The sequence below is a fragment of the Homo sapiens genome, chromosome X (assembly GCF_000001405.40).
Source record: "Homo sapiens chromosome X, GRCh38.p14 Primary Assembly".
NCBI classification, from domain to species: domain Eukaryota; kingdom Metazoa; phylum Chordata; class Mammalia; order Primates; family Hominidae; genus Homo; species Homo sapiens.
Genome location: NC_000023.11, coordinates 27,722,299 through 27,750,152, shown reverse-complemented (window position 1 = coordinate 27,750,152; position 27,854 = coordinate 27,722,299). Strand labels below are relative to the sequence as shown.

General features: G+C 37.1%; 1 protein-coding gene across 9 annotated transcripts in view; it reads right to left on the bottom strand.

Moving 5' to 3' along the window:
- Positions 1–210: 210 nt before the first annotated feature.
- The window catches only part of DCAF8L2 (DDB1 and CUL4 associated factor 8 like 2), a 281,002-nt gene continuing 253,358 nt past the window's right edge, over positions 211–27,854 (bottom strand). For 8 of the 9 annotated variants that reach the window (XM_024452372.2, XM_024452371.2, XM_024452373.2 and 5 more), the window contains one exon: positions 211–3,315. In XM_024452372.2, coding sequence (XP_024308140.1) covers positions 1,362–3,257 — 1,896 coding nt within the window. In that variant the 5' untranslated portion in view covers positions 3,258–3,315 and the 3' untranslated portion in view covers positions 211–1,361. Of the gene's footprint in view, positions 3,316–3,474; positions 3,696–27,854 lie in introns of all 9 variants that reach the window. The other variant, XM_024452374.2, reaches the window with a different exon arrangement.

Here is a 27,854-nt window from a genome sequence, read left to right as displayed (position 1 = left end):
AATCTCATTATGCAAATTACTCTACATTTTCCCCAAAACACAGAGATAATACTCATTTTGAGAAGTATTATCAAAGAAAAGCCATTGTCAGGACACAGGATGTTTCATTACATCCTTCTTTCCCAAAAGTCTGCAAAGAATGGTGTGGTATAGTTCATGGGTGTTGGGGGCAAGGTGATCTTCTGAATTCATTCACACAAATAACACATATAAAATAAAAACAAATATTTTTATTGAGCAGTAATTGGACATCCAGTACCCTTATTTAATTTATATTAAATGAGGCATAAAACAATTTTTAAAGCAATTTAAACAGCAGAGAGAATTTTAAGCAATGTGAGGATGTCAAATAGGATTTTTCTACCAATTACACCAAATGGTTATGTGTAAGTATAAACAATCTTTATTGCAACTTGTTCTTAAAAGTTAATTAGAATGCGTTTTCAAATATGAGAGATTTTTATATCAGTAAGCTGGCATTTATAGGACATGCTTGTCCCAGGAGGACTTCCTGGAAGGTAACCCTGTGGGAGTTCCCAACCTTAAAACTTCAAGAAAACTTAATGCACAGAGTAAACAATGTCATGTGATCAAATTTAATTTAGTTCTTACCAGCTACAGTGTACTCAAATTTTTCAAAATTATTAATATATGGATTCAGAAAATGTAGGCAATCCCACGTTATTTATTCTAAGGAGATGAATTATCTGGTTAGGAATTAATCTACATAGTACCTCTCCTCTTTTCCTTTTCTGAGACTGTGTCTGCGTATGGCCAAGTGTTAAGAATTAATCTACACACTACTTCTCTTTTCCTTTTCTGAGACTGTGTGTGTGCGGCCAAGTGTCAGTATCGACAGAACAAAACTGTAGTTTGTCTTATTTTCTAAAGAAGAAACACATTTCTGAAATTTTCAGGTCAACTGAGGAACTCGATCTTCAGAAAAAATTGTTAAAGATGAAAAAAAGTAAAAAGGTAACCGTTTTCAGACTGTCAGATTTGAGTAGATGCATCTAATAAGGGTATTAATTCTTTCAGCAAAATTCAGAAAATTTAGAGGTCAACTATAAGGGAACAAAGGAAAAGAGGCATAAATAAGTTGTGTATGCACTCATGTAAGAATAAGGGGTAACAAAAGAGGCGTAAAGAAACCAAGAGGAAAGGAATGAGAGAAAGAATGTGTGGAAGAAAGAAAGGAAAGTAGAGAGGAAGGAATGGAAGAGACGGTTTTCAGCATATATTATGGAAAATAGAAGACAAAAAGCAAATCTATTAATCTATTGACAATTCTAAATTAGTCAAACTGAATTTTAAAGTCCAGTGTACTTAGGTGGCATGTAGCTGGACTGGATATGAGGCCTTCAGGATGGCATGCACTGCACTCGGTCTTGGACCTCCTCCTCAGATGTCTCTGAAGTGCTGGAAGACTCATCCGATTCTTCATCTGGAAATTCAGCTTCACCACTTCTCCAGTCCTGGTGACGACCTCTCTGCGTCACGTGACGCAGGAGGAACCAAAGCATGTACTGGTCAAACAGGCTGCCATGGTGCAAGCTGTCTTCATCTCGTTCCCACTTGTTCTTCTTAATCACCTTCTTTAACCCAGTAAGCTCAGTGGCAGCTTTAGCTGTGGGTGTCCAGATCTTGACATCATGATCTAGGCCACTGCACGCCAACACAGGTAGGTAAGGGTGGGGTTCAAGACAGTTTATTGTACCTTCTCTGCTCCCCTTTAGGAACTGGATGATTTGGCAGGATGATTTCTCCCAGAAGAAGATGTGCCCGCAATCACTACCGCTCACTACAAACTCACTCCTGGGGCCATAGAAATTAACACCTTTGACTGTGGTATTATTTCTGTGTCCCTTAAATCTCTTACTGTATTGAGCACCATCACTGTGAGAGGAGTTGAAGAGGTAAATATCGTCATCATTGTAGCTGGCTAGCAGCTCTGTGCCATCGTGGCTGTACACAACGCAGGTGATGTTTGTTGGGAAATCACAATTAACCAGATGATGAGGAGTGAATTTCTTGAGCACGCCATTGTTTTCTTTCTTATCAATTTTCCTCTGGTCATAAATCCTTACAAACTGATCTTGTCCACCCACTGCAAATTGGTAGGTATTGGCGGGATTCACAGTAATTGTATACAGTCCCACTTTCTTATCATTTTCTCTTGTTACCACAACTTTTGAAGCTGGCCGGTCTTGTCTGAGGTCAATGGTGAAGACAACAGCATCTTCACCTGAAGTGAGGAACTTATAAGGAGAGTCAGGCTCCAGAGCCAACTTGTGGGCAGGTCCCCTGTGCTGGGCCACACACTTAGTATTGTTGAAATATGATGCATTAATTAACTCTGCTACCCGTACCTGCCCATCACGGGCACACATGGCCAGAGTGGAATCACCACAGTTAGGAAGGAACTTGGCCTGGAAGACATTATTTGTGTGACCACTTTCAAAGTTCAGTACTGGCCTCTGCCGCACCCAGTCCCACACTATCACCTTTAGGTCATCACCGCTACTGGCCAGCCGGGTGCCACGCTGGTTAAAGTGTACAGTATTGACACAGCCGACATGGTCTGCAAGACGATATTGCAGGCGGAAACGCTGCACAAAGGCTCTTGCCCCACAGGCCTCATATACAAAGCGGGGACGTGAACCCAGCTGCCGCTGGTGAAGAGCAGTAACGACCTGCCAGCGAGGTCGGGGCAGGGCAGATGTCTCTGAGGAAACCCACTCCTCCAGCGCCTGATCCTCCTCTAACGAATACTGCTCATGGTTGCCGCCACTGCCTTGTGGACCCGCCCGAGGCTGTTCTTCTTCCTCCTCCTCCTCCTCCTCCTCCTCCTCCTCCTCCTCCTCCTCCTCTTCCTCCTCCTCCCCTCCCTCCTCTTGTATCTCTTCGTCTTCCTCCTCCCTTTCTGTCTCCTCCTCTCCCACTAAAGGGTAATGGAATAAACTTTCACCACTCATGAGGAAATGCTCAAAGTCCTCCAAGCTCTCAAGTTCGATGTCTTCACTTGCGCTTTCTTGGTCTGAGCTTCGATTTTCTGTGCTGGCATCGTTGGGGAATCCACCATCCCTGCTATCACTGCCATCTCCGGTCACTGTCACACTCAGCTCTGAGGTCGCTATGTCAATGTCTGAGGAGGCCTCTGTCGCCGCCACGGCTCCAGACTGCTCCTCTGGGCTGCTGAACAGGCTTTCAGTCCCTAAGTCTGGTAAGCCGTCTGTGCTGCCTTCTTGGTGGGACATCTTGAACGATGTTTGCTGTAGTAGATCTGGAACTGCAAAGGCCAGGCCCCTAAAAGCTCTGGGAAGAAAGTTGGCCTGCGGTTAGGACTGATGGTAGTGAAGGAAGTAAGCGCGTGGCAATCAAACAGCAATCTGATTGGCTAAAGGAGACTAAATAAACTATTCTGCCAAGGCAGTTGCCAGTATGGGATCCCATGAGGTTCAAAAAGCTTCTTACCTGCTCGCCGCCTCGCAGCATCCAGACTGCTCTAGTTTTTCCAGGCCCAGAGCCCCACCCCGACAGGCATCTTACACTGTGAGTAGCTGCGGGTTTTTGAAGATCGAAACTTGCTGCACCTTGGAAAATGTTCTTATTAGAGAACCATGAGCAAAAGTGATCCTCCTTAAGCAAAATAGTTTTTAGAAGCCTCTCAGTGTTTTGCTTGAAGGTAATGTACTCTATAAAATGAAGATGTAGGCAAGAACAGTGAAAAGTCAGCTAAGTGTCCCATAGCTAGTGACTTTTTGACATACAAGAAATATCTTAAATCGAACAGCTTAAGGGAAACCTTGAGTGCTCTAACTAGTAGAATCGATATAGGGTTGCCAGATAAAATACGGTATGCATAGTTAATTGCATTTCAGATAAAGGATGAATACTTTTTTTAGTATGAGTAGATCTCAAATGTTACATTAGATATATTGCCACTAAAATTTTATTTATTATTTATCTGAAATTCAAATTTAACATGGTGTCCTCTATTTTTATTTGTTAAATCTGGCAGGCTCCTTTAGTGAGAAGAATTTAGACCCTCAGTGTAATGAAGGCTGAAATCAACTGATCAATTGAAAGTGGACACTGAAATGAGTAATTGCTTCACCTATTTGAGATAGAAGTAGTACTTCCTTTTTTCTTATTCCACCAGAGTTCCTATATATTTATTTAGAGTTAATTCAATTTAAGATACTTAGGGAACACCAACACAATTTTGTGAAAAAAGGAAATTATGTGATGTCATAGAACTATAAAGTCTTTTACATATCACCCAGAACATGTCCGAGGCTTCTGTGGGGCCTCTAAGGAACAGAAAACAGCTCTACAGAGACAGTTAATTGGCATTACTGTGTTAATTTAATAGTTTCTCTGAATGAATTATCTAAGGTGATATCAGCATATTTTCAAAGGGCTACAGTAAACTGCTAACTAAGAAGGCCAGAATGAGGAAAACAAAGTTTCCCTCAGAATAATTGCAAGATAAATGCAAAATTGATTAAAAATAGAAGTATACAGTCTTCTAAAGAAAATGGATGGTTCCAAGGCCAATAGTAACAGAAAGATATGTAAACAGTATTCATAGCAACTTGTAAAGTCTAGCGCAGCAAACTGAAAACCACTGAAAAGCCCATCAAGAATAACATGGATAAATAATGGAATAATGTATGGAAGTGAGAATGACTAGACTAGAATTAAATACATGAGCACGGATGAATCTTTAACACAATGATGAGTGAAAACACAATTAACAAGGATAGTCAATAATTTCAATTTTTTGCAAGTCTATATTGTTTTCATATAAAATAACATCATTTAAAAAGGCAAGGAAGTAATTGATTCACAACTCAGGATAATGATTAAATTTCAAAAAGAGAAGAAGGTTGAAATCTGAGAAAGATGTAACTTCAAAAATTCTTGGCAATATTTATATCTTATCCTGAGTATAGGTGTCCAGTTATTCTTTTTATTATTTATTGCTAGGCATATACATTTTATGTGTATGATATATTGCATAGTAATTCTTTAAAAGAATTCATGTTCATAAACAAGGGGTCTTGCTCAGCCATGGAACACAAAAACAGGAAACCTAGAGCATCAAACCCTAACATACCCATAAAGGAATTGTCCAGGAAAGGAAGTGTCTTAGTCCATTTCGCTTTGCTCTAAAGGAATAGCTGAGGCTGGGTAAGTTAAAAAGAAAAATGGTTTACTTGGTTAAAAGGTCAGCAGGCTGTACAAGAGGCAGGCACCAAGTTCTGCTTTTAGTGAGGAACTCAGGAAGCTTTAATCATGGCAGAAGGAGAAGGGGAGCGGGAGTGTCACGTGGTAAGAGAGGGAGCAGGAAAAGAGGAGGTGCAAAACTCTTTATAACAATCACATCTTGTGAGAACTAATAGAGTGAGAAATTACTCATTACCTGGAGAGAAGGCACCAAGCCATTCATGAAGGATCTATCCCCATGATCCAAACACCTCCCACCTGGCCCCACTTTCAACACTGGGCATCAGTTTTTTTGATAGCTTTTAATTGTGCTTTTCTTCAACTTAGTTCATTAAAATATATTTATTTTAAGCATCCTATAAATAAAGTGACCACCAACTAATGTGGGATATAGGTCACCCCTCAGCATGATATTTGTTTTAAGCAGTGTTTCTTATAGGAATTTTATTGATTGTACAGTAGTTACAATAATGTCAGATATAATGGTGTATACAATTTAAATGAGATAGGCCTGTTAAGAATTTACATAATATAAAAATATACATATTAAAAGTTAGCCAAGTGGACAGATGCATGTAACAGGGAGAGCAGGTAACAGGAACCCCTTTAATTATCAGTCAAGGGCCCAGATGCAGGAATCTTATTTTCCCCTCTATGACAGTAAACAATGTTCATTAACAGATACAGGTCTTCCAGATACACCTAAACACACAGGAGTAAGTTGTGAATTGCTGCGTGTACAGTCTAAAGTGGTGTAATTGTGATCTTCCTGTGATACTCCCGAGAAAAAGTAAATAGTGAACCCCATGCAAGTAGTAGGAAGCATTGGTCTTTTATCATAGGTTGGACTTGAAGATGTTTAACTCCTGACATTAATATTTGTAAACAGGCCAGGCCTGGTGGCTCACGTCTATAATCCCAGCACTTTGGGAGGCTGAGGTGGGCATATCATTTGAGGTCAGGAATTTGAGACCAGCCTGGCCAACATGGTGAAACCCCATCTCTACTAAAATACAAAAAATTAGCCGGATATGGTGGCACACATCTGTCATTCCAGCTACTTGGGAGGCTGAGGTGGGAAGATCGCTTGAGCCCGGGAGGTGGAGGTTGCAGTGAGCTGAGATCACACCACTGCACTCCAGCCTGGGCGACACAGTGAGACCCTGTCTCAAAAATAAATAAATAAATAAATAAATAAATAAATAAATAAATAAATAAATAATAAAAGCCAGGCATGGTGGCTCATGCCTGTAATCCCAGGACTTTGGGAGGCTGAGGTAGGTGGATTACTTGCAGTCGGAGTTTGAGACCAGCCTGGCCAACATGGCAAAACCCCCTCTCTACTAAAAATACAAAAATTAGCCGGTCGTGGTGGCGTGAATGTGGTCCCAGCTACTCGGGAGGCTGAGGCACAAAAATCGCTTGAACCCGGGAGGCAGAGGTTGCAGTGAGCTGAGGTCGCGCCACTGCACTCCAGACTGGGTGACGGAGTGAGACTCTGTCTCAAAGAACAAACAAATAAAATATTTGTAAACAGCACATGTCCCCTTTTGCTATGTTTTCTCCAAAACTGGCATGGACTTAGGGTGGGAGAATTCTGATGGTCATTTGACCTAACAGTGAACTACTGAAATACTGTTTAAAATGTGAGAACCTTTCAAAAGAATTAGTCAGGTGTGATAGCATGTGCCTTGTAGTCCCAGCTACCCGGGAGGCTGAGACAAGCGAATCCCATCCCTTGGGCCTGGGAGATCGAGGCTGCAGTGAGCCGTATTTATGCCACTGCACTCCAGCCTGGGTCACGGAGTAAGACCCTATCTCAAAAAATAAAATAAAATGAAATAAAAAATAAAAGTGTGAGAACCTTTTAATACTATTTAGTTACACACTTTAAAAAATGGGTATCATCCATAGCTATAAGCCAAAAGGTAGAAGGGAGTGCATCTTAATTTTTATGCTTTTAGTTTTACTGTTTTATGGTTTCTATGGCTGTCCTAAAGAATGACACTGGTACACTGCTGGTTTGTTTACCAATGCAGACACTAGTTTGAGCACTTAGATCAGACAAAACCCGAAATAGAAGAAATGCCACTCTTTTTCTCTGGGATCTTCTAAGAAACTAGACTAAAATTATGAATTATTAAAGTTTCCTGTTGAGTGGTGGTGTTTTTATGTATGTAACTATCCAGAGAACAAATCAAATAGCTGTCTAACACTTGCAAGAGCATAGACTTTTAGTATACTTCTGATAGGAATCAGGAACCTTGAGCAGCAGTTCACAGTCAGAGTTGTTTTCTTTTTCTTTCTCTTGGTTTTTTTTTTTTGTTTGTTTTTGTTTTTGTTTTTGTTTTTGAGATGGAGTCTTGCTTTGTGGCCCAGGCTGGAGTGCAGTGGCGTGATCTGGGCTCACTGCAACCTCTGCCTCCCGGGTTCAAGCGATTCTCCTGCCTCAGTCTCCCGAGTAGCTGGGATTAGAGGTGTGTGCCACCCCACCTGGCTAATTTTTCTATTTTCAGTGGAGACGGGGTTCCACCATATTGGCCAGGCTGGTCTCAAACTCCTGACCTCAGGTGATCCGTCCACCTCGGCCTCCCAAAGTGCTGGGATTATAGGTGTGAGCCACCATGCCTGGCTAGAGTTGTTTTCCTACACACCCCATTTACCCTGCGCTTGTGCCAACTACTATGGCATATGCATTTTGACGGATTATGCTTCACAATGTGTGCCTAAAGATCCTCTTAGAGAGATTTCTCTAGTTGAGTAAAAACCCCTCTAAAAAAGGTGGCAAGTTCTGTGAACCTAAAGAGAAGACTCAGTGTCTCTCTGAATACCTTTAAATTACTGCTAGAATTGGAAGTTCCTATTTGGGGGAAAACAATATTAAAATAACGAAGATCTATTTTATTGGTAACTTAGAATACAAAATATTTTATTTTAAAAATTCTAAAATTTGAAAGCAAGCTAGCCTAGGTTAAATAATATAGTTTCTAGACCTGAGTGTGCTCATCTGGAGCTCAGTTTTTCTGTTTAAATACAAGAACAACTTCCTAACTTCCTAGGTGGGAACACTATGTTTTGATGATCTGTGATTAGATAAACTGATCCATCTCAGTTGGTAACACTCCTTTTTTTCTTTGGTAATGGTGTAAACTTCTAGAATAAATGCATTTTTATCTAGTTTTACAGTGACAATTTCCAAAATCTATTGGGAGGCATATACCGTATATAGGAAGCCATCTTCATCCTTCTCACTCCTCATACACCTCTGAAATCAGCGAGGTGGCGCTCATCATTCTGTGCCCAGTCACCAACAGGAAGAAGGCTTGATTAGCTAGCACAAGGAACTTTGTTTTATCCAGAACAGGCAGCTGCTCCTCACTCTTGTATCCTATTATCACTGGGATTCTGGTTGGATGCTGCTCTCCGATAAGTGAGACATCTACTCTTTGTCTTAAGGTGCAGGCTGCTTGAAGGTCTCCTAAGCCATGGTGCTGGGGCATGGGGGTGGGGGCAGGGGCGGGCTAGGCTAAGGAGGCAGGCTGCAGAGACCCTGAGGGTCTGGTGGCTCTGGGGAGGGGAGGAGAGGGAGAGCGGCAGTGGCTCTGACTCTGTTGGGGATCAAATTTTAACAGAAGATTTGAGGGGACAAATATCCAAATTATATCAGGAAATCTTAATCGGCTTTGGATATATCTTGACCCATTGCAAAGAACAGTTCCAGTGTTAGAGGATGAATCAGGTTACTTTAACCTGATGCTATTTTATCAATCTGCTTTTCATATTTGCTTATTAGGCAAATTTGGACTATAAATTGGCTTTTCATTTAAGTTTTTGTTTAAGTTTGGCTTTACATATCATCGATTCACTTTATATATTTCCATTCTCATTCATTAATCCACCGTGCATTTATTTAGGACTTCTATGTGCCATGTACTAGTCTAGGTACTGATAATACGGTGGTGAATAAAAGTGGCATTCCCTTCACTCATGGAGTATGTAGTATAGTGGATGAAAGAGAAAACAGACAAATTAATATATAGATAGACCAGATGAAGCAGTAATGAATATTATGGAGAGAATTAAAGCTGTGTAAGTGCATATAGAATATGGGTTGTTATTTTAGATAGTACATTCAGGAAGGACTTCTTATTGGGGTGACATTTAAGTAATTTAAGTAGAGGGCAAATGAAAAGAGAAATAGATCCTTAAGTACCTAGGGTAAGAACATTCCTTATAAAGTGATATTGAGTGCAAATTATCTGAAGTAGGATCACAATGTGAGTGTTTGTGGAACTTCAAGGAGGCTGTGATTGAAGCAGTACAAGCAAGCTTTAGGGAGAGTGACAGGCAATGAGATTGGAAGAAGCCATGGCTAACTAAACAGAACCTTGTTGACCATTATAAGGAATTATAGTGCTTTATTTTATTCTAAGTGTGCTGGAAAACCTTTGGGAGCTTGCCAGTAGGGGAATGCATTGTATGAGTTACTTTTTAAAAGGATGACACCAGCTATTGTGTGGAGAATAGCATGGGAGGAGAAGAGAGAGCAGATGTACTAAACTGTCGCTCTAATCCAGGTGAGAAATTAAACTGGCTTAAACTGGTGTTGGAATGGTGGAGGTGGAGAAAATTAGTTAAGTCTGGAATATATTTTGAAGTGGAAAAGGCAGCATTTGCTGATGAGTTCAATATGGGTGTGAGGTGAATTAGGCTATTGGCAAGAAACACATACCAGTTGGGTAATTGCAAGCAGTTCAGCAAGTGGGCTCCTTACAAAGGTGAGAGCAGGCTAAATCACAAGGTAAGCATACGGACATCATTGCTATTACGAACAGGAAGACATTATACCCCTAAGCCAAAAGGTATAGAAGGCAGAGAGAAGTTATCAAAAACCTGAGACGAAAAGGGGAGTGTGGAGAGTCTGGCGTGACATTAGCCATCCGTCTGTGAACCCACAGAGAGGCAGCCAGGGAAATAAATTCCCCAGATTTATTCTCCTTTCTCTGCTCTCCTGCTGGTGCTTCCCACTCAATCACATTAAGAAGGGAGGAGAAGGAATCCGGATGTGTAAATGTAAGCTATCCAGCCTCTGGTGGGCAGATAGGAATCAATGGTAACTCCTAAGTATTTGACAGGAATAATGGGTTAATGGTGGTGACATTTACTACAGTGAGGATTAGGGATGAGGATGGGGAATCAAGAGTTCTGTTTTATTTACATCAAGTGTAAAAATGTCCACGAAACATTGAGAAAACAGAAGCACTGAGTTGGCAATTGGATACACATGTCTGGAGTTTACAGGAAAGATTATAAATATAGATATAAATTTAGAAGTCATTAGCCACTGGGAGTAAAGGAGATCACCTAGGGAGTGAATATAGTGAGAAAGCAAAGGTCTGAGAACTAGGCATTGGAAAACTCCAACATTTATTTTAGGAAGAAAGGAGAAAACAACCATATGGAGCAGAAGGAGCAGCCAGTTATGTAGGAGAACAATATGAGAATATGAAGAAAGTGTAGAAATTATTTTACAAAGTTGAGTGTGATTGACTGTGCCAAATATTGCCAAGAGGTTAAAATAAAGCCTTGGAAGTGACCACTGAATTTGGTAACAGGGAGGTAACCAGTGACTTATTGTAACTCTTTTATAAGACTTATGAGAAAAAAGCTTGGCCAGGAATGTTTGGGGAGAGAAAGGAGAGGGAAGAAGTGATGATGGTGAGCGAGGAGAGACAACTCTTATAAAGGGTTTTGCTGCAAAGAGAAGAGAATTAGAGTGACAACAAAGGGAAATGGGGTCAATAGATTTTTTTTTAAATCAGATTTATCACACGATGTCATATACTAATGATAATGATTCAGTAGTGAGGGGGAAGCTGTAATGCAGGGAGGACAGGAGAAATTTCTGAAAGTCTTAAATAGGGGAGAGAAAACAGGATTCAACGCACAGGTGGAGGGGTTGTAGCAGGAGAGGAGATGAAATATTTGGCATGGAGGCAGGCAGGTTATTAGATCTGGTGGTGAAAGAATATGCACATTATCTTCTAACTGTTTCTGTTCCTGAAGTGAATAAAGAAGCAAGGAAATCAACTATGAATGAGGAGGAATAAATCTATGCTGGAGCTTTGAGACAGAAGAAGGTTTGGAAGTGCCAACTCAGAGAATGAGAGAATTAGTCCAATAGAGAAATGGAGATTTGTTGCCTGGAAGCAGATCAGGCCACTTGTAGTTTCATGACACAAACATAAAGTGAGACAGCATTGCTATTTGTTTTTCTCTAAACATTTCAGATACTTGAGGACAGGAATGGTGTAGGCAGATACCTGGATTGAAGTAAATTCCAAATTCTTTTGCTAGTTGAGGATGACAGAGAGTTGGGGATGGGGGACAAAGGAGCTTAGATTTTACATAGTGAAATTTTATAATAACAAACCATGAAATTTAACTATATTTAAAAGGGAATTAAGGACATGAGGAAGAAGATGGAAATGGCAAATATAATAGGGTCAGCAGATTGGAGGTCCTAGAAAAGTCAAAGTTTGCTCTGATCAGCAAATGTGTTCAACTAGGCCTGCAAGTACATATGAAGCTTAGGAGGATAGGATGATTCAGAGCACTATCATGTGTACTCAAGCTATTAAGGCAAAACAATTTGATTAAAAGAGTAAAGTAGTTCACTTTAAGATGTGACTCAATTTTCTTACAAGCTATTTCCTTAATCTAAGGGGAACTTCCTATTCTGGGGAAGATGTTTTTTAGACAAAACCTTCCAGTGCCACTTGAATATCCCAGGACATTACCGTAACTACTCTTGGAGACCAGTAGTATGGCAGCCTGATTCTGAAAATATCAATCAAAGAAAAAGATGGGTTATTAATCTGATTGCCTTGGTGGGTTTAAGGATTTAAAAGACAATCATTTCTAAAATGCTGTATCGCCTTCCTTATGCAGTGGGCTTGTCGTGTTTTCTGCCCTCACGGAAGTAACATCCTAGTGGGAAAGATACATTTGCAAACCAGTAATGATTTTGAAGTGCAATGCATACTAAGATTAGTAGAATTTTTTTGTGTGAAGATTTCATAAGGTGTTGGCAAAACTTACATTTAAATGTGCTTCCTAGATTTTAGAAACACTTATTCAAATTTCTGGGAAGCCCATTAACTTCAGATTGTCATTTGGAAACAAAAGAGGGCAAAAAAAAAAAAAAAGATTCTCTATATTCTAGAACAATTTCTATTAAAAACAATTAAAATAGCCAAATGTATGCTAATTGAATTATTAACAGAGGGTCCTGTGAAAGTGCAGTGACAGGGGATACTGTTTTGGGGTAGACATAGTGTTTAGATTGGCTTCCAGGAAAGATATTTGAGCATAACACTGAAAGCAAGAACAACAGAGCAGCACATAGCCACCTAATGTGAATTTTCTTCTGGGCCCTTGTGTATGCATTCCCGTGCTCCTCTGGCTCAGACTCACTTTGTTTCAGTCCCTTTTCTGTCTGGTATACAACAAGGTGGGAAGCAGGTGGAGGTTGACACATGGTCTGTGACAGGAGGGAGGAGAGAGCATGACATATTTTGGAAAATGGGAAGTCTTAGTATGGTTGGAACACAGAGTAAGTGTAAGCAGCAATACAAGACAAGGCCAGCTCACAACTTGGCGTGTTTTAATGCAGCATTTCTCAAACCTTTTGGTCTCAGAGTGCCTTTACACTCTTAAAAGTTATTGAGAATCCCAAAGGGTTTGCGTGTATATGAATTATATCCATTTATATTTGCCGTACTAGAAGTTAAAGCTGAGAAACTTTTAAATATTTATCAATTTATTTAAAACAATAATCAACCCAATACATGTTAACATAAATAATATATTTTATGAAAGATTTTTTCCCAATGAACCAAATTTAATAAGGAGATTGGCATTGTTTTACAATTTTGCCTATTTTTATTGTCTGGTTTAATAGAAGACATCTGGATTTTCATATCTGCTTCTTCATGCAATCTGTTGCAATATCACACTTTATGCAGTGTCTGGAAAATTCGACTGTACATTTGTGAGAGAATGAGACTGGAAAAAAAAATATTTTAGGCTTACCATAAAATAATTTTGACCCTGCAGAGCCACTAAAAAGGTCTCAGAGACCACCCTCAAGTTCCCCAATCACACTTTGAGAACTGCTGCTTTCTTATAAAGGCATATTGATAAGTTGAATTTTAACTAATGCACAGATAATTTAGGCAAGGGATTACCTGATAGGATTTGCATTTTATAATTATTGCTTTCAGGGTGGGAAATAAATTGGAGACAGGCAAGGCAAGATGATTGGAAATTAATTAAATTTGAACAATTTCTCACATTCTATCTGAAGTAAGTATTTTTACAAACTTTTATAAAATGCCGGTAATACTTTGTATGTGTCTAGTTTGCTTTGCTCAAGAGAAAGTTACTTGAAAGCAGGTATTGCTTTTGATTCATCCATATGACTATCGCTTTTGGTAATGTGTACAGAGTAGGCACCAAGTAAAGATTTGTTGAAAATAAATGAAAGAACCAACTAAGTGGCTATCAGAATAGTGCAGATAAAAGATGATATAGTCCTGACCTTAAGGGCAGTGGCAAAACAGAGGAGTAAATTCAAGAGATGTACTGAATTCATTGTTGACTGCCGGGAAATGTCATTGACCTGCTTGATAGATAAGGGCTATGAAGGAAAGAGAAGGTACACCATCATGTCGGCCATCTGTCTGCTTCATGTGGCCCTGATTCAGGAAATATTGAAGGGACAGAATGGGGTGGAGTATGAAGGGGTGACTTTTGGTTTCATTTTGAATATGAATTCCAGATGCCTATAGGACTTGAGCCACCCGTATCACCTGAAGCTGTTTTAAAGTTACATAAGTGCCTTATCTAATTAAGCCAAGATCATAGTATATTCTAATATTTGTTTTCAATACTTTAATATTTTAGTATTTGTTTTTAGTACTTTTGATGTTTTAGTGTTTATTTTTAATGTCTTAATATTTTAAATATTTAATCAGAATTCTTGGATTTTTGCTGGCCTAAATTTCCGATTCTATTAGTGGGTGCCGATTTACTGTCAAACACCTGGGATTAATTTGGCTGCTACACAGTGGATGCTATTTTGCTTTCTGATTCACTGTAATGTGCTTCTAGATTCCATCCAGAGTTTGGGAAGCTGAATTCTTCCTACAACTGTGTGAAGGAATCTGCAGACCCCATTCTTAATATGCATGTATGGTAGAAAGTAGAAGACACAGCATTTGACTTATTTACAGAAACTGATCGAGTCTCCTGTCACCATCCTCCCACTTTGCAAGTCCTAGTTAAAGTTGATGACACATTTAAAAGTACAAATATCAGCAAGTATGGATTTTAGTAGTTCACAATTCATTAGATAGACAACATGTGATTGAAAATAAAGAAGCATTATGCAAAGAGTATGTTTTGAACAACTTAAAATGAGTTCAGAAGGTAGCAAAACAAACTGGCTTTATGTTTCCAAGAGAGTAGCCCCAACAGACAGAAAGGAAGCCTTTAAACAGTAAAAGAATTTAGTTCTCATATCCTTTATTGCTGCTTATCTTTTCATCTGGTTGGAGTTGCTGTTTTATCTAGTACTTCACTATTTAGCACCATCCTGTCTTTATATTTTGATTCCAATCTACTCTGCAAGCCTAATTGTTGCCCTGTCCCAGGAGAATGTGAATCATTTTAAAGTTAGAAAGAGAAGCATCTACATAGATAGAAAATAATTGTAATTTCATTATAATTACTCTATTTGTTTTTCTCTTAATTATGCTGAACATGTATCAATATCTCCAAAGAATGAGTGATTACCACCTGTCATAAATGTGGAAGGCAGCCCCCAACTCTAATCACTTTCATCACTTCAAATTAAAACTATAGTGTTTATGAAAGTTTGAACTCTTGATATTTCTATTGGTTGCATAATTTAGTGCGTTACAGAAATTGTACCATTTAAGAAAAATAAGATATACTTTGAAAAGTATATTGTGTTTGCTTTTCGCCAGTTATTGTGTGTTTCATAAAGCACATATTGAACACATAAAACTGGACACTCGTGAATTTCATTAGAGATATTAATATAATTTAAATGGAATACAGGACATTATTTCTAAGACTGTATAAGGATACTCATGGTAATATATGAAATACAGATATAAAACTAAAACACACAAAAGTTTCTGGTGTCACCTAACAGAATTTTTATGCTCCCCAGTAGAAAATTAGGCAGATTAGTTTAAAAAGTAACCAAAGGTATATTTATCAAACATGTTATTATTATTGAGAGTGGTGCCACAATTTCTTTCTCCTCTCATTTACACGCTGAAAGGAATTTCTGCTCTTCTCTGTTTTGGAAATTCTGTCTTTATTCCTAATGTGATACTTCAGACTTTGAAATATGGTGGGCGACATTTTACTCTTGGACAGAGTCATGGTTCACATGGTACAGACCCTGTTGCTCTCTCATTTGCCTCAATGCTCAGGCATGAAGAGCACTCTTGGGTTTTTTGTTAACGTGCTTGGACAGTGCCCAGGATCTAGTAGGAATGCTGGCTCTCCTTCTTACAGGTACTCTCTTTCACCACTGATTCTGTGTGTTAGTTGGACCAGGCATCTGCAAACAGCGATATTTTTACTTCTTTCTTTCTGGTTTAGATGGGGTTTAATTTCTTTTTCTTGCCTGATTGCCCTTGCTCGTGCTTTCAGTACTATGTTGAATAGAAATGCCAAGGGTGGCCATCTTTTCCTCGTATGGGATCTTAGAGAGAAAGCTTTCAGTTTTCCCCCTTGATTATTATGTTAACTGTGGGCTCTTCATAAATGAGTTTTATTGTGTTGAGAAAATCTCCTTCTATACCTATTTTGTTGGGATTTTTTTTATCAAAAAAAGATGCTTAACTTTGTCAAATGCTTTATCTGCATCTATTGAGATGATCATGTGGTATTTATCTTTTATTCTGTTAATGTTGTATATCACATTGACTGACATAGACAAATGGAACAGAATAGAAAGCTTAGAAGTAAATCCAACCACACATGATCAACTAATTTTTGATAAGGGCACCAAGACCGCACAATGGGGAAAGGATATTTTCTTCAATTCATGGTGTTGGGAAAGCTGGATATCCACATGCAAAATAATGAAATTGAACCCTTATCTTATACTATACACAAAAATCAAATGGAAATGGATTAAAGGCCTAAATATAAGAAATGAAATTGAAATTTCTAGAAAAAAATACATGGGGGAAAACTCCTTGACATTGGCCTTGGCAATGATTTTTTGTGGCATATCATACTACAAGCTCAAGCAACAAAAGCAAACATAAAAAGTGGGATATATCAAACTAAAAAGCATCTGTATAGTAAAGGAAACAACAAAATGGAAACACATCTTATGGATTAAGAGAAAATATTTGCAAACCATATATTTGATAAAAGCTAATATCCAAAATATATAAGGAACTCACTCTAATCAATGGCGATAATAAAAATAATACCGAATTAAAATATGGCCAAAGGACATGAATATACATTTTTTCCAGACGTAACTAAATATGGTCAACAAATATATCAAAAGTGCTCAATATCATTAATCACCACAGAAATGCAAATCAAAACCACAGTGAGATATCACCTCACACCTGTTAGGATGGATATTATCAAAAAGACAAGAGATAACAAGTGTTGTTGAGGGTATGGATAAAAGGGAAACCATGGCCGGGCACGGTGGCTCATACCTGTAATCCCAGCACTTTGGGAGGCCGAGGCGGGTGGATCATGAGATCAGGAGATCGAGACCATCCTGGCTAACACGGTGAAACCCAGTCTCTACTAAAAATATAAAAAATTAGCCGGGCATGGTGGCACACACCTGTAGTCCCAGCTACTCAGGAGGCTGAGGCAGGAGAATCGCTTGAACCCGGGAGGTGGAGGTTGCAGTGAGCCGAGGTTGCACACTACACTCCAGCCTGGGCAACAGAGCGAGACTCCTTCTCAAAAAAATTTTTTTTAAAAAAAGGGAACCTTGCACACTGTTGGTAGGAAAGTAATTTGGTATAGTCATTATGGCAAATAGTATGGAGATTCCTCAAAAGATTAAAACTAAAACTATCATATGACCCAGCAATCCCTTTTCTGGTTATATACCTAAAGGAAGTGAAATCAGCAACTTATGGAGATATTATTGCAGCATTTTTCATAGTATCCAAGATATGGAAACAATCTAAGTGTCTGTTGATGGATGAATGCTTAAAGAAATTTTGATAGAGTGTATATATGTGTTTATATATATACATATACACATATTTTCTGCTATGTGAGGACATAAAGAGGAAGCTAATCAGCTGGCACCTTGACACACACACACACACACACACACGCGCACACACACAGGAAAATTATTAAGCCTTAGAAAAGGAGATCCTGCCATTTGCAGCAACATGGATGAACCTGCAGGACATTATGCTAAGTGAAATAAGCCAAGGACAGAAAGAAGAATATTGCATGATCTCGTGGATATGCAGAATCTAAAAAAAGCGGAATACATAGAAACAGAGTAGGATGGTAGCTACCAGGGTAGGTGGGAGAAGGAAGTGGGGAAATGTAGGTCAAAGGGTACAAAATTGCAGTTATGTAAGAATTCCAGAGATCTTATGTACAGCATGAAGACTATAGTTGGTAACATTGCATTGTTTACTGGAAATTTGCTAAGTCAGCAGATTTCTGGTGCTCTTATCACAAATAAGGGTAACTATGTAAGGAGACACATACGTTAATTTTCTTAATTGTAGTAGCAATTTCACTATGTGTATGTAGATCAAAACGTCATGTTATACAGCTGAAATATATACAATAAAAACAACAACAACAACACAGGACCCAGGACCGGGGTTTGAATCATGGTCTTGCCCGTTTCCAGTTGTATCATCTTGGGCAAGCTGTATAACATTTCTATGTTTCTGTCTCACTGTATGTAAAGTGATATCAGTTATACCAATTACTTCAGAGAGAATTGTGGGATACATAAATTAATATAAACTGATTAAATTATTTAATTAACATTAAATAAATTAATAGTTTTGAAATGCTTAAAACATTTCATGGTACATAGTGAGCACTATGTAAAGGTTAGCTGCCATTATTAGTGTCAGCCTGTTATGTACTGTGTATTTGTGTCTTCCTAAAATTCATATGTTGAATCCCTATGCCCTAATGGGATGCTGGAGCTTTTGGGAGGTGATTCGAGTCAGATGAGGTCATGAGGATGGAGCCCTTATTTGGTAATGCATTTATTAAAAAAGAAGGAGACCAAGGATATTTCTCTCTTTCTGCCATATGAGGATATATTCAGGAAGAGGGTCTTTGCCAGGAATCTAATCAGCTGGCACCTTGATTTCAGACTTCCTAACCTCTAGATCTGTGAGAAGTAAATGTCTGGGTTTTGTGTTTGTTTGTTTTTTGTTTTTGTTTTTGAGACAGAGTCTTTCTCTGTCGCCCAGGTTGGAATGCAGTGGTGCAATCTCGGCTCACTGCAACCTCCGCGTCTCCAGGTTCGTGCCTCAGCCACCCGAATAGCTGGGATTGCTGGCACGTGCCACCACGCCCAGCTAATTTTTGTATTTTTTTTTTTAAGTAGAGACAGGGTTTCACCATGTTGGCCAGGCTGTTCTCGAACTCAGGAGTTACACCTCAGGAGTCTTGACCTCAAGTGATCCACCCGCCTCGGTCTCCCAATGTGCTGGGCCTACAGGTGTGCCATGCCCAGCCTAAATGTCTGTTGTTTAAGTCACCCAGCCCACAGTATTTTTATTACAGCAGCGCAAACTGGCTAAGACACAGCCAGAGCAAGTTCTGTGGTCACAAAGTTCAAGATACCGTACTTGATTCTAAATATTTTAACATTTGTGTCAAAGGCTTGAACAGTGATATTAAAGGCCTGTGATACGAAATTGGGAGCTCTATCTCTGACGCTAGGCTAAAGTCAATGAAATGAAATATGTTTAGGTCCCCCAAAACAAAGGTTTACATGCCAAATATTTGCCAGCATTGTGATATATTTATTTTAAATATATGAGTGCCATGTTGTGATCTGTTTCACAGCTTGCATTGCAAATACAGCTAAACAAACTTTAGTAGTTTTTTTTTTTTTCAAAAATAAAATATGTGGCTGTGCGCAGCTGTAATCCTAGCACTTTGGGAGGCCCTGGCGGATGGATCACCTGAGGTCAGGAGTTGGAGACCAGCCTGGCCAACATGGAGAAACTCCGTCTCTACTAAAAATACAAAAATTAGCCAGGTGTGGTGGCGGGCACCTGTAATCCCAGCTACTCCGGAGGCTGAGGCAGGAGAATCGCTTTAAACCGGGGGGCAGAGGTTGCAGTGAGCTGAGATTGCACCACTGCACTCCAGCCTGGGCAAAAGAGTGAAATTCTGTCTCAAAAAGCAAAATAAATATGTGATTCAGTGATATAAGATGAATAAGTTCTAGAGGTCTGCTGTACAACATTATCTGTGGTTAACAATACTGTATTGTGTACTTAAAATTTGTTAAGGGTAGATCTCATGTTAAATGTTTTTACTACAATATATAAATAAGCAAGCAAACAAACAAATAAATAATATATGTGATTTCAAATATCATAGGACCAAACTAGCAGAAAATCCAATATCTTTTCTCCTCTCACCACCTTCACCTCCAACTTGTTGAAAACTTAGGACTTATAGAGAACTAAATATCTGCAGGTGTCATGGGAAGGGTGGGTCATTCCAACTTCTACACCCACACGAGGATTATGTAGTAAGTGCCTTAATGTTTTGTCTTATCATTGCTACATAAAGACATTTTTGACAACCAGTCCTATAACATTATGAATTCCACCAGTAAGAACCTCTGAGGGAGACTGATCCATTCCTGCAATGCTTATCTCAACCATGAAGCCTCTTACTTTGAGTACCCATGGATACATTTCTTAGGACTCAGTATTTTTCATCTCATGTTCAGCTAGGAGTACAGCATCAAAATTGGTTTAGGACTGCAGTGGACTGAATGCTTGTCTTTCCCTAAATTAATATGTTGAAATTCTAACCTCCAAGGTGATGGTATTAGGAGGTAGCAGCTTTAGGTGGTGATTAGATTGTAAGAGTAGAGCCCTCATGAATGGGACTAGTGCCCTTTTAAAAGAAACTCCAGAAAGCTAACTTTTCCCTTCCACGATGTGAGAACTGAGATAGAAAATACCATCTATGAACCAAAAGCAGGCCTTACCAGACACTGAATCTACCTGCACCTTGACCTTGGGCTTCCCAGCCTCCAAACAGTGAGAAATAAATTTCTGTTGTTTATAAACTACCAATTTTATGGTATTCTGCTACAGCAGGCCAAATGGACTAAGATGGGATGGCAATAGGAAAAAAAAATTAAAGATCAGTTATTTGCTGCCATATGGCTGTGGTCAGCAGAGAGGACTGAGTGCAAAGGAGCATGAAGGAACTTCTGTGCACATGATGGAAATATTCTATTTATATCATAATTGCCTTGATAGGTATATGACTGAATACATTTCTTAAAATTCATCAAACCATACAATTAAAATGAGTGGATTGTATTGAATACAAATTATACCTCACTAGAGCTACTTCCCCCATGTCTTCTTCATGCCCACATCCTAAAGAACTGAAGACTCCCCACTTTCGTCTTGCTAAACATGAAGTGTCTTATAGTACTCCCTCTCTCTCTCTCCAGGGAGCTTTATATTCCACCTATTTTTTAACCTTATGTTTTAAGTTTAATTTAATAAATTATTCTTTCAATGGTTATTTCAAACATTTTCTTGTTTTACTTTCTTTTTACATATGTGGAGGGATGTCCTTTCCTCTTAAAAAAATTCACTTGAGAAGATATTTAATGAATCCTTACTAAATGTCAGGCAGTTTTATAGGCACTATGGATACAAGAGTGAGGAAGACAAATAAAAACCCATGTCCTGATATATTAATATTAGATGATATGCTAAGTAGAAAAGTAAAGCAGAAGATAAGGATAGGAATGACTGGATGGGGTTATGTTTGTTGCAATTTTTTAAAGTCTGGACAAAAAAGACATCACAGAGAATGTACTGACTGAACAGACTTTAAGAAGAAAAAGGAAGGCACATGGAGATATACCTATGTATCTATATCTATATCTAATAGTCCACGCAGAGAAAGTAGCAAACATGACTTTTCTGAGAAGAGAGGATGTCTGGAGTGATTGAAAACTAGCACAGGGGCCGGAATGGCTGGAGCAGACTCCAAAAAGGGAAGTGTAGAAGACATGAGGCCTGACAGGTAGCAGGAGGCCATATTATTTACAGCCATATGACTCACTTGAAAGGGTTAAGGCTTTCCCTTAAATAGGATGGTGAGATGTCTTGCCAAGAAAACTGACTTTGGAACAAAGGTTTGTGTGTGAGTCACTTATTGGAGGAAATGTGCTCAGAAAGCAGCAGTGAGGTCCAAAGGAGATTCCAAGCAGGGAAAAGAGGAAAGCAAAACAACAACAACAACAACAACAACAAGACATTGAATTGGCCGTTGCTACAAGTGACTAGTGGTTCTATCCATGGGATCATGTAAAAAAATTGTGTTAAATGTGCCCCAGGAACATTCACGCAGGGGGTAAAAGGGAGGAGTTTTTATCCTTGAGATTCCATAATTTTGTTGAACCTCCCTAAGGTGCATTAACTCATCGGCAGTTCTGTGTTGCATATTTATTGTAGCACTTCACACCCGAATTTAGTAGGCAAGCCCAAAGCAGGAGGTGTGAGACATGCAAAGTAAGGTTGAAATGTAATGTTCTCAGGATATTACCCCATGAAGTTGGTCAGAACCCAGGTAGAACTAGTCATTGCAATTGTATTTCTATAGACAAGATACAATTGGAATGTGAAATTTATAATAATGGTGCATTTACAATAGCATCAAAAGATGCCAAATGCCTAGAAATAAATATAATTAAACATATCCAAAATCTCGTCACAGAAAACTATAACTGAAGGAAACAGTGCAAAAAGAGATTAAAAATACAAAAGTAAATGAATTTATATACATGTTCTTAGATTGGAAGACTCATTATTGAAAAGATGCCAATTTTCCCAAAATTGATTAGTAAATTCAATACAATCTAAATAAAAATTTTAGCACGGTGTTTATATGTGTGTTTTGGGGCTAGGAAAGGAAATTTGAAAAATTGTAAGTGATTCTAAAATTTTAAAAGAATACAAGTACAGATAAAATATATTTGAAGAAAAAAAGTTGAAGAATTTGTAGGCATCAAAATTATGATTAAGATAGTGTGCTGTTGATACAGAGACAAACAAATAGATCAACGAAATAAAACAGAATCCAGAAGCATGCCCACACACATAAGGACATTCAAATGATTAAAAAATGGGCATAAATGAGTCATAGAAGAATATCTTTATGAGCTTTGGGAAGAGGAAATATTTCCCAAAAGATAACGGGAAAGATTGACATATCGGATTATTTTAAAAGGAGGAACTTCTGTTCATCAAATGATACCATTTAAGATTTTTAAAACCAGTATATTTGCAACCCATATACACAAATGAGACATATAGATTAATGAAAAAAGTTGGAAGACCCAAGTGAGAAAAGGGACAATAAATTTTCAGTATCCTCTATAAAAATATAAAAATAGTTTATGATCCTATGGAAAGATGCTCAACCTGTTTATTAACCAGGGAAATTCAAACTAAAACCACAATGAGATGTCCACTAGAATACTACAATTTAAAAGACTGAAAACATCCAATATTGTTGGTAAAGAGCTTTCATTTACTTCTTATTAGGGTGTGTGGTGAAAAGAACTATTTTGGAATATTGCTTGGCAGTATCTATTAAACTTGCAGATATGCAGATCCCCTGATCCAACAATACCACTATTCAGTATATACCCAACAGAAAGCACACATATGCGCATGAAAAAACATAGGAAAGAATGTTCATACAATCATTATTCATGATATCCTCAACTTGGAAACAACCAAAATGTCATGCAAGAATGAAATGGATAAGTGAGTTGTCTGTACATACAAGGACACGCTATACAGCAATGAAACAAGGACTGCTACTGCACAAAACATTATGGATAAATCTCACAAACACATAGAGCAAAAGAAGCCAGATAAAAAAGAACTCAATTATGTGACTGCATTTGTAAAGTGTTCCAAAACAGGAAAATAATCTGTTGTTGGAAGGCAGGACAGTCATTACCTTTTCAGAGAGGGGAGGGAGTATGATGGGGCCTCTGGAGCAACAGTAATATATTATTTCTTAGTCTGAGTGCTTTATGTGGGTGGGTTTACTCTGTAATAACTAATGCTCTACACATATGATTTGCTTAGCTATGTATATATAATACATAATATTTAAAAGCTTATAAAATTGTTGTACCTACCTTAATGTGTTCCTAAAAATAAATGAGACAATACATGTCTCATGACTGGCACATAGTAGGTGCATAATTGATGTTAGCTAATGGCATAAAGAAAGGAACTACATAATCTTTGGTTTTAAGTAGAACTGTAAATTAGTCTAGAGAAAGAAAGAGTTGTTAAGAACTGATCTCCCAAATCCCATTCAGATTACGAGGTTATGAGAACTGAGAGGGGGGAAAATAATCACTTTGCCACTGAGAATATTTATTATGGGGAAAAGGACTAGAGAGAAATGCCCTGAAGGGCACGGAAACCTGAATAATAAGTGGCAGTTTTTGGTCTATGTTGTGATATAAGTTATCAAGCTTGTGTTAGACCAAGTAGGGTACGCAAGCAAGAGAGTATAGCTATATAGATTTAGATAATACCAAACCATTAAGATAGGTTGCTAACTCATTTCTCTTGTTCTTTTCAAAGATAGCTACATTATTGTCAGAAAATAAATTGAAAGAACATTTGTATTTGCAGTGTTTTATTTTTTAACAGCGGTTCTGATTTATATTTATAGATATATTTATTTCATATATTTATCTTATATATTTACACTTAAAAGATGAGCAACCGATTTCTTGTTCTGAGTATTTTCATAACATACTTTGAATTATTCTGATAAACTTATGTTTTAGCTTCAAATATTATTTATTTATAATTTAATTTGCAAGTTATATTATTCTACTTGTAACACTATCCTCTTATATGTGTTCAATTACATTTAAAATGCAATTTATAATATTTATCTTTACAATTTTTAACCATGTATATTATTGGACCCATCTAGATCTTTATAAAACATAATATATTTATATTTTAACTCTGAAAATAAAGACTTAAAATATAAATATATTATGTTGTTAAAATGCCATCATCTATATTCAGCAGGTCAAATTTATTATCTGTCATTATCACAAATAAATCTTTTTGGGGCAGATAAAAACAAAATTCTCCAATTCTAGCTATTATTAACTCTCAATGCAGCCTCCATTTGGGGATTGCTGAGCTAAGAGTCTATCTTAATACTTAAATAGTATTTGCAGTATTTTTGAAGGGAAATGCATTCCTTGGGCATTTTGCATGTCCTTGGAAATGAGATTAGTATTTGATTTTTGTTTTCCTAAATATGACCAATGTAACCATCACTGGGGATGAATCTTACAGAGCTGCATGCTGAAAGATTCAGCTAAAAATTCTGACTTGGCTTATATAGTTTTCTCTTGTGGATGGAGTCTTTCTGTCTTGCAATTAGAATGTACCACAACTTACTATCATGTCTCTTATTTTTAAAAAAAGAATTTATAAATATGGAATTGCCAACATGAAATCTGGATGCAATACTTGATATGAGTCTCATAACAATATTATATTTTATTTGTTTTCTGTAATAATTATTTAGAGTCAAATATGTTTAAATATTCAAGCTGTTAGTCCGTTTTCTCAGAAACGGAATATATACACTTACTTATAGTAATGTCATATAGGTAGTTCTTCTTGGCTAAAATATGACTTTTTTCCCTCTCACTTTAAAGTATATGTGAGATGGCTGAATTTGAAATAAAAATATACCTAGAATATACAAACAGGCTGTATTTAGTTAAAAACCTGGCAACAATCTATCAAATTGTTAATAAATGTGAATATAAATCTGTTACTTGGAGAATTGATTCTGTAGCTGTGAAGAATTGAATGTGCTTACATCTTTTGTATTTTAAAAAAAGAATTGACAAAATAGATTTTTATAACATTTCTTTTCTGTTGCCTGATAAATTTAATATATTCCACTAAAGTTAGTATACAGGTAACCCAGTACAGTAATGACTTCTGGAGTAAAAAGGTTTTTTTCCCCTTGTTCTTCCTAGCAGAAAATTAAAGAATTTTTATATTCCAAACAGTTACAAACTCAGTTTTCCAGTAGTTTATCCCAGTCTTCAATGATATATGAAGTAAACAAGGGATACTGTTCCCCCACGAAGAGGTGGAGACAATAATTAACGTTTATTAATTACTGTTTTTTGTCTTATAGTTGAGAAATATATAAAGCCTCTTACATCAAATGTATCCAGTAAATCTTATTTTTCTTCATATGTAATCGTATCATCTAAAACCAAGTAGAAACATAAATTTAATCTACTATTTAAAATAATTCTTCAAAATAGAGAGCAGGGCCATATTCCTATGATTATTTTTTAAGAGTTAATTTTTTGAGTAGATAATATATTTATTCAAAATCATACAAGATGCATGTTTGGAAGTCTTGTTGCTATCCACCCTCTTAACCCATTCTACTGCACTGTGTACTGATAAATATTTTTATTGCATTTTTTCTTATCCTCCTAGTGTTTAATACAAATATATGCAAATATGAAAATATATTCACTAGCTTCATTTCTTAGGAAAAAAAAGGTAGCACACCAAACAATATTTTATCTTGTTTTTTTTACTCTAAAATGTTATTGGAGATCACTCTATCTTGGTACATAAACGCTATACTCATTCTTCTTATTGATGCATAATATTCTATTATGTAGATATAGCTCCAGTTATTTCATAAATTTCCCATTGATATACACATGGTTTATTTACAGTTGTTTACTATTACAGTGTCTCAATGAGTAATCCTGTTCATATATCATTTAGAATGCATGAGCATTTTTGCAGGACAAATACCTGGAAGAGAAGATCTGTGGTCAAAGGGGAATTGCATTTGTATTTTGGTAAATAATGGCAGATTGTCCTGGATAGGATTTGCACCATTTTCCACTCTTAGCACTAATGTATGAGAATGCTGTTTTCCCATAGTCTCAACAGCCATGCTTTGTTAAAAATTTGGAATATGATAGGTAAGGAAAAGCTTCTCTATAGAGTGTGTTTGCATTTTTTAATTTATAAAAAACTCAGAATCATTTTCTATTTTAAAATTCAGTTTGTATTTGTTTTTCTAAGAATTATTGGTTCATTTCTTTGCCCATTTTTCTGTTGTGTTGTTGGTCTTACTATTCTTGATTTCTAGGAGTTTTTTTTCTATTCATTAAGCAGGTTAGTCTTTTGTCTGTGGTACAAATCGTAAAGATATTTCACAGCTCTTCATTTGTCTTTTGACTTTGCTTTTGATTTAAAAAATAATTTAGAAACATTTATTACTCTTTTCATTTAGGCCTTCTGGATTTTGATTTTTGGTTATTTATAAATTTTATAATTTATAAATTAACTTTGGGGGAATGGACATCTTTATATTGTTCAGTCTTCCTAGATAAAACATGGTATAGTTTTCCATACAAGTATAATTCTTGCATCCTTCAGAAAACCTATAGTTTTATTTCAGATTTGTTTCTCTATATATTTTCCTGTTCTGTTGCCATTGTAAATGAATAAAATCCTTTTAATGATTTTTAATGGATTTTGTTTGTGCAGATGTCTATTGATTTTTGAATACTAATTTTATAACCCAATAACTTATTTTTTTTCTAGTAGCTTTTCAGATCATTCTCCTGGGATTACAGTTACGCTTTCTTATTATCTGTTACATGAAATACTTTTACCTCCTTGTTTTACATTGTTATATCTCTAATTTCTTTCCCATATTAATCTCATTAGCTAATGCACCTTATAAAATGTTAAGTAGCAGTTGTGATAGTGAGCATTTTGTTATCCTCCTGCTTTTATCTGGAACACAAGCAGTATATTATAATAAACATGTGCTTTAAGATTATACACATGCACACATACACACACACACAGACAATCCTCAACTTACAATGGTTCAACTTGTGAATTTTTGACTTCATGATGTTGTGAAAGTGATACACATTCAGTAGAAACCACACATCCAATTTTGAATTTTGACTAATTAAAAATTCAAAATTTGAAGTATGCTTTCTACTGAATGTGAATTATACATTCTTAATTATAGAATAATATTTGCATTAGAGGGTTTTGCCCAATTTTAGACTAATGTAAGAGCTTCGAGCACATTTAATATAGACTGGGCTAACCTATGATCTTCAATAGGTTCGGTTTATTAAATGCATTTTCAACCTACAATATTTTCAACTTATGATGGGCTTATCAGAACGTAACCACATT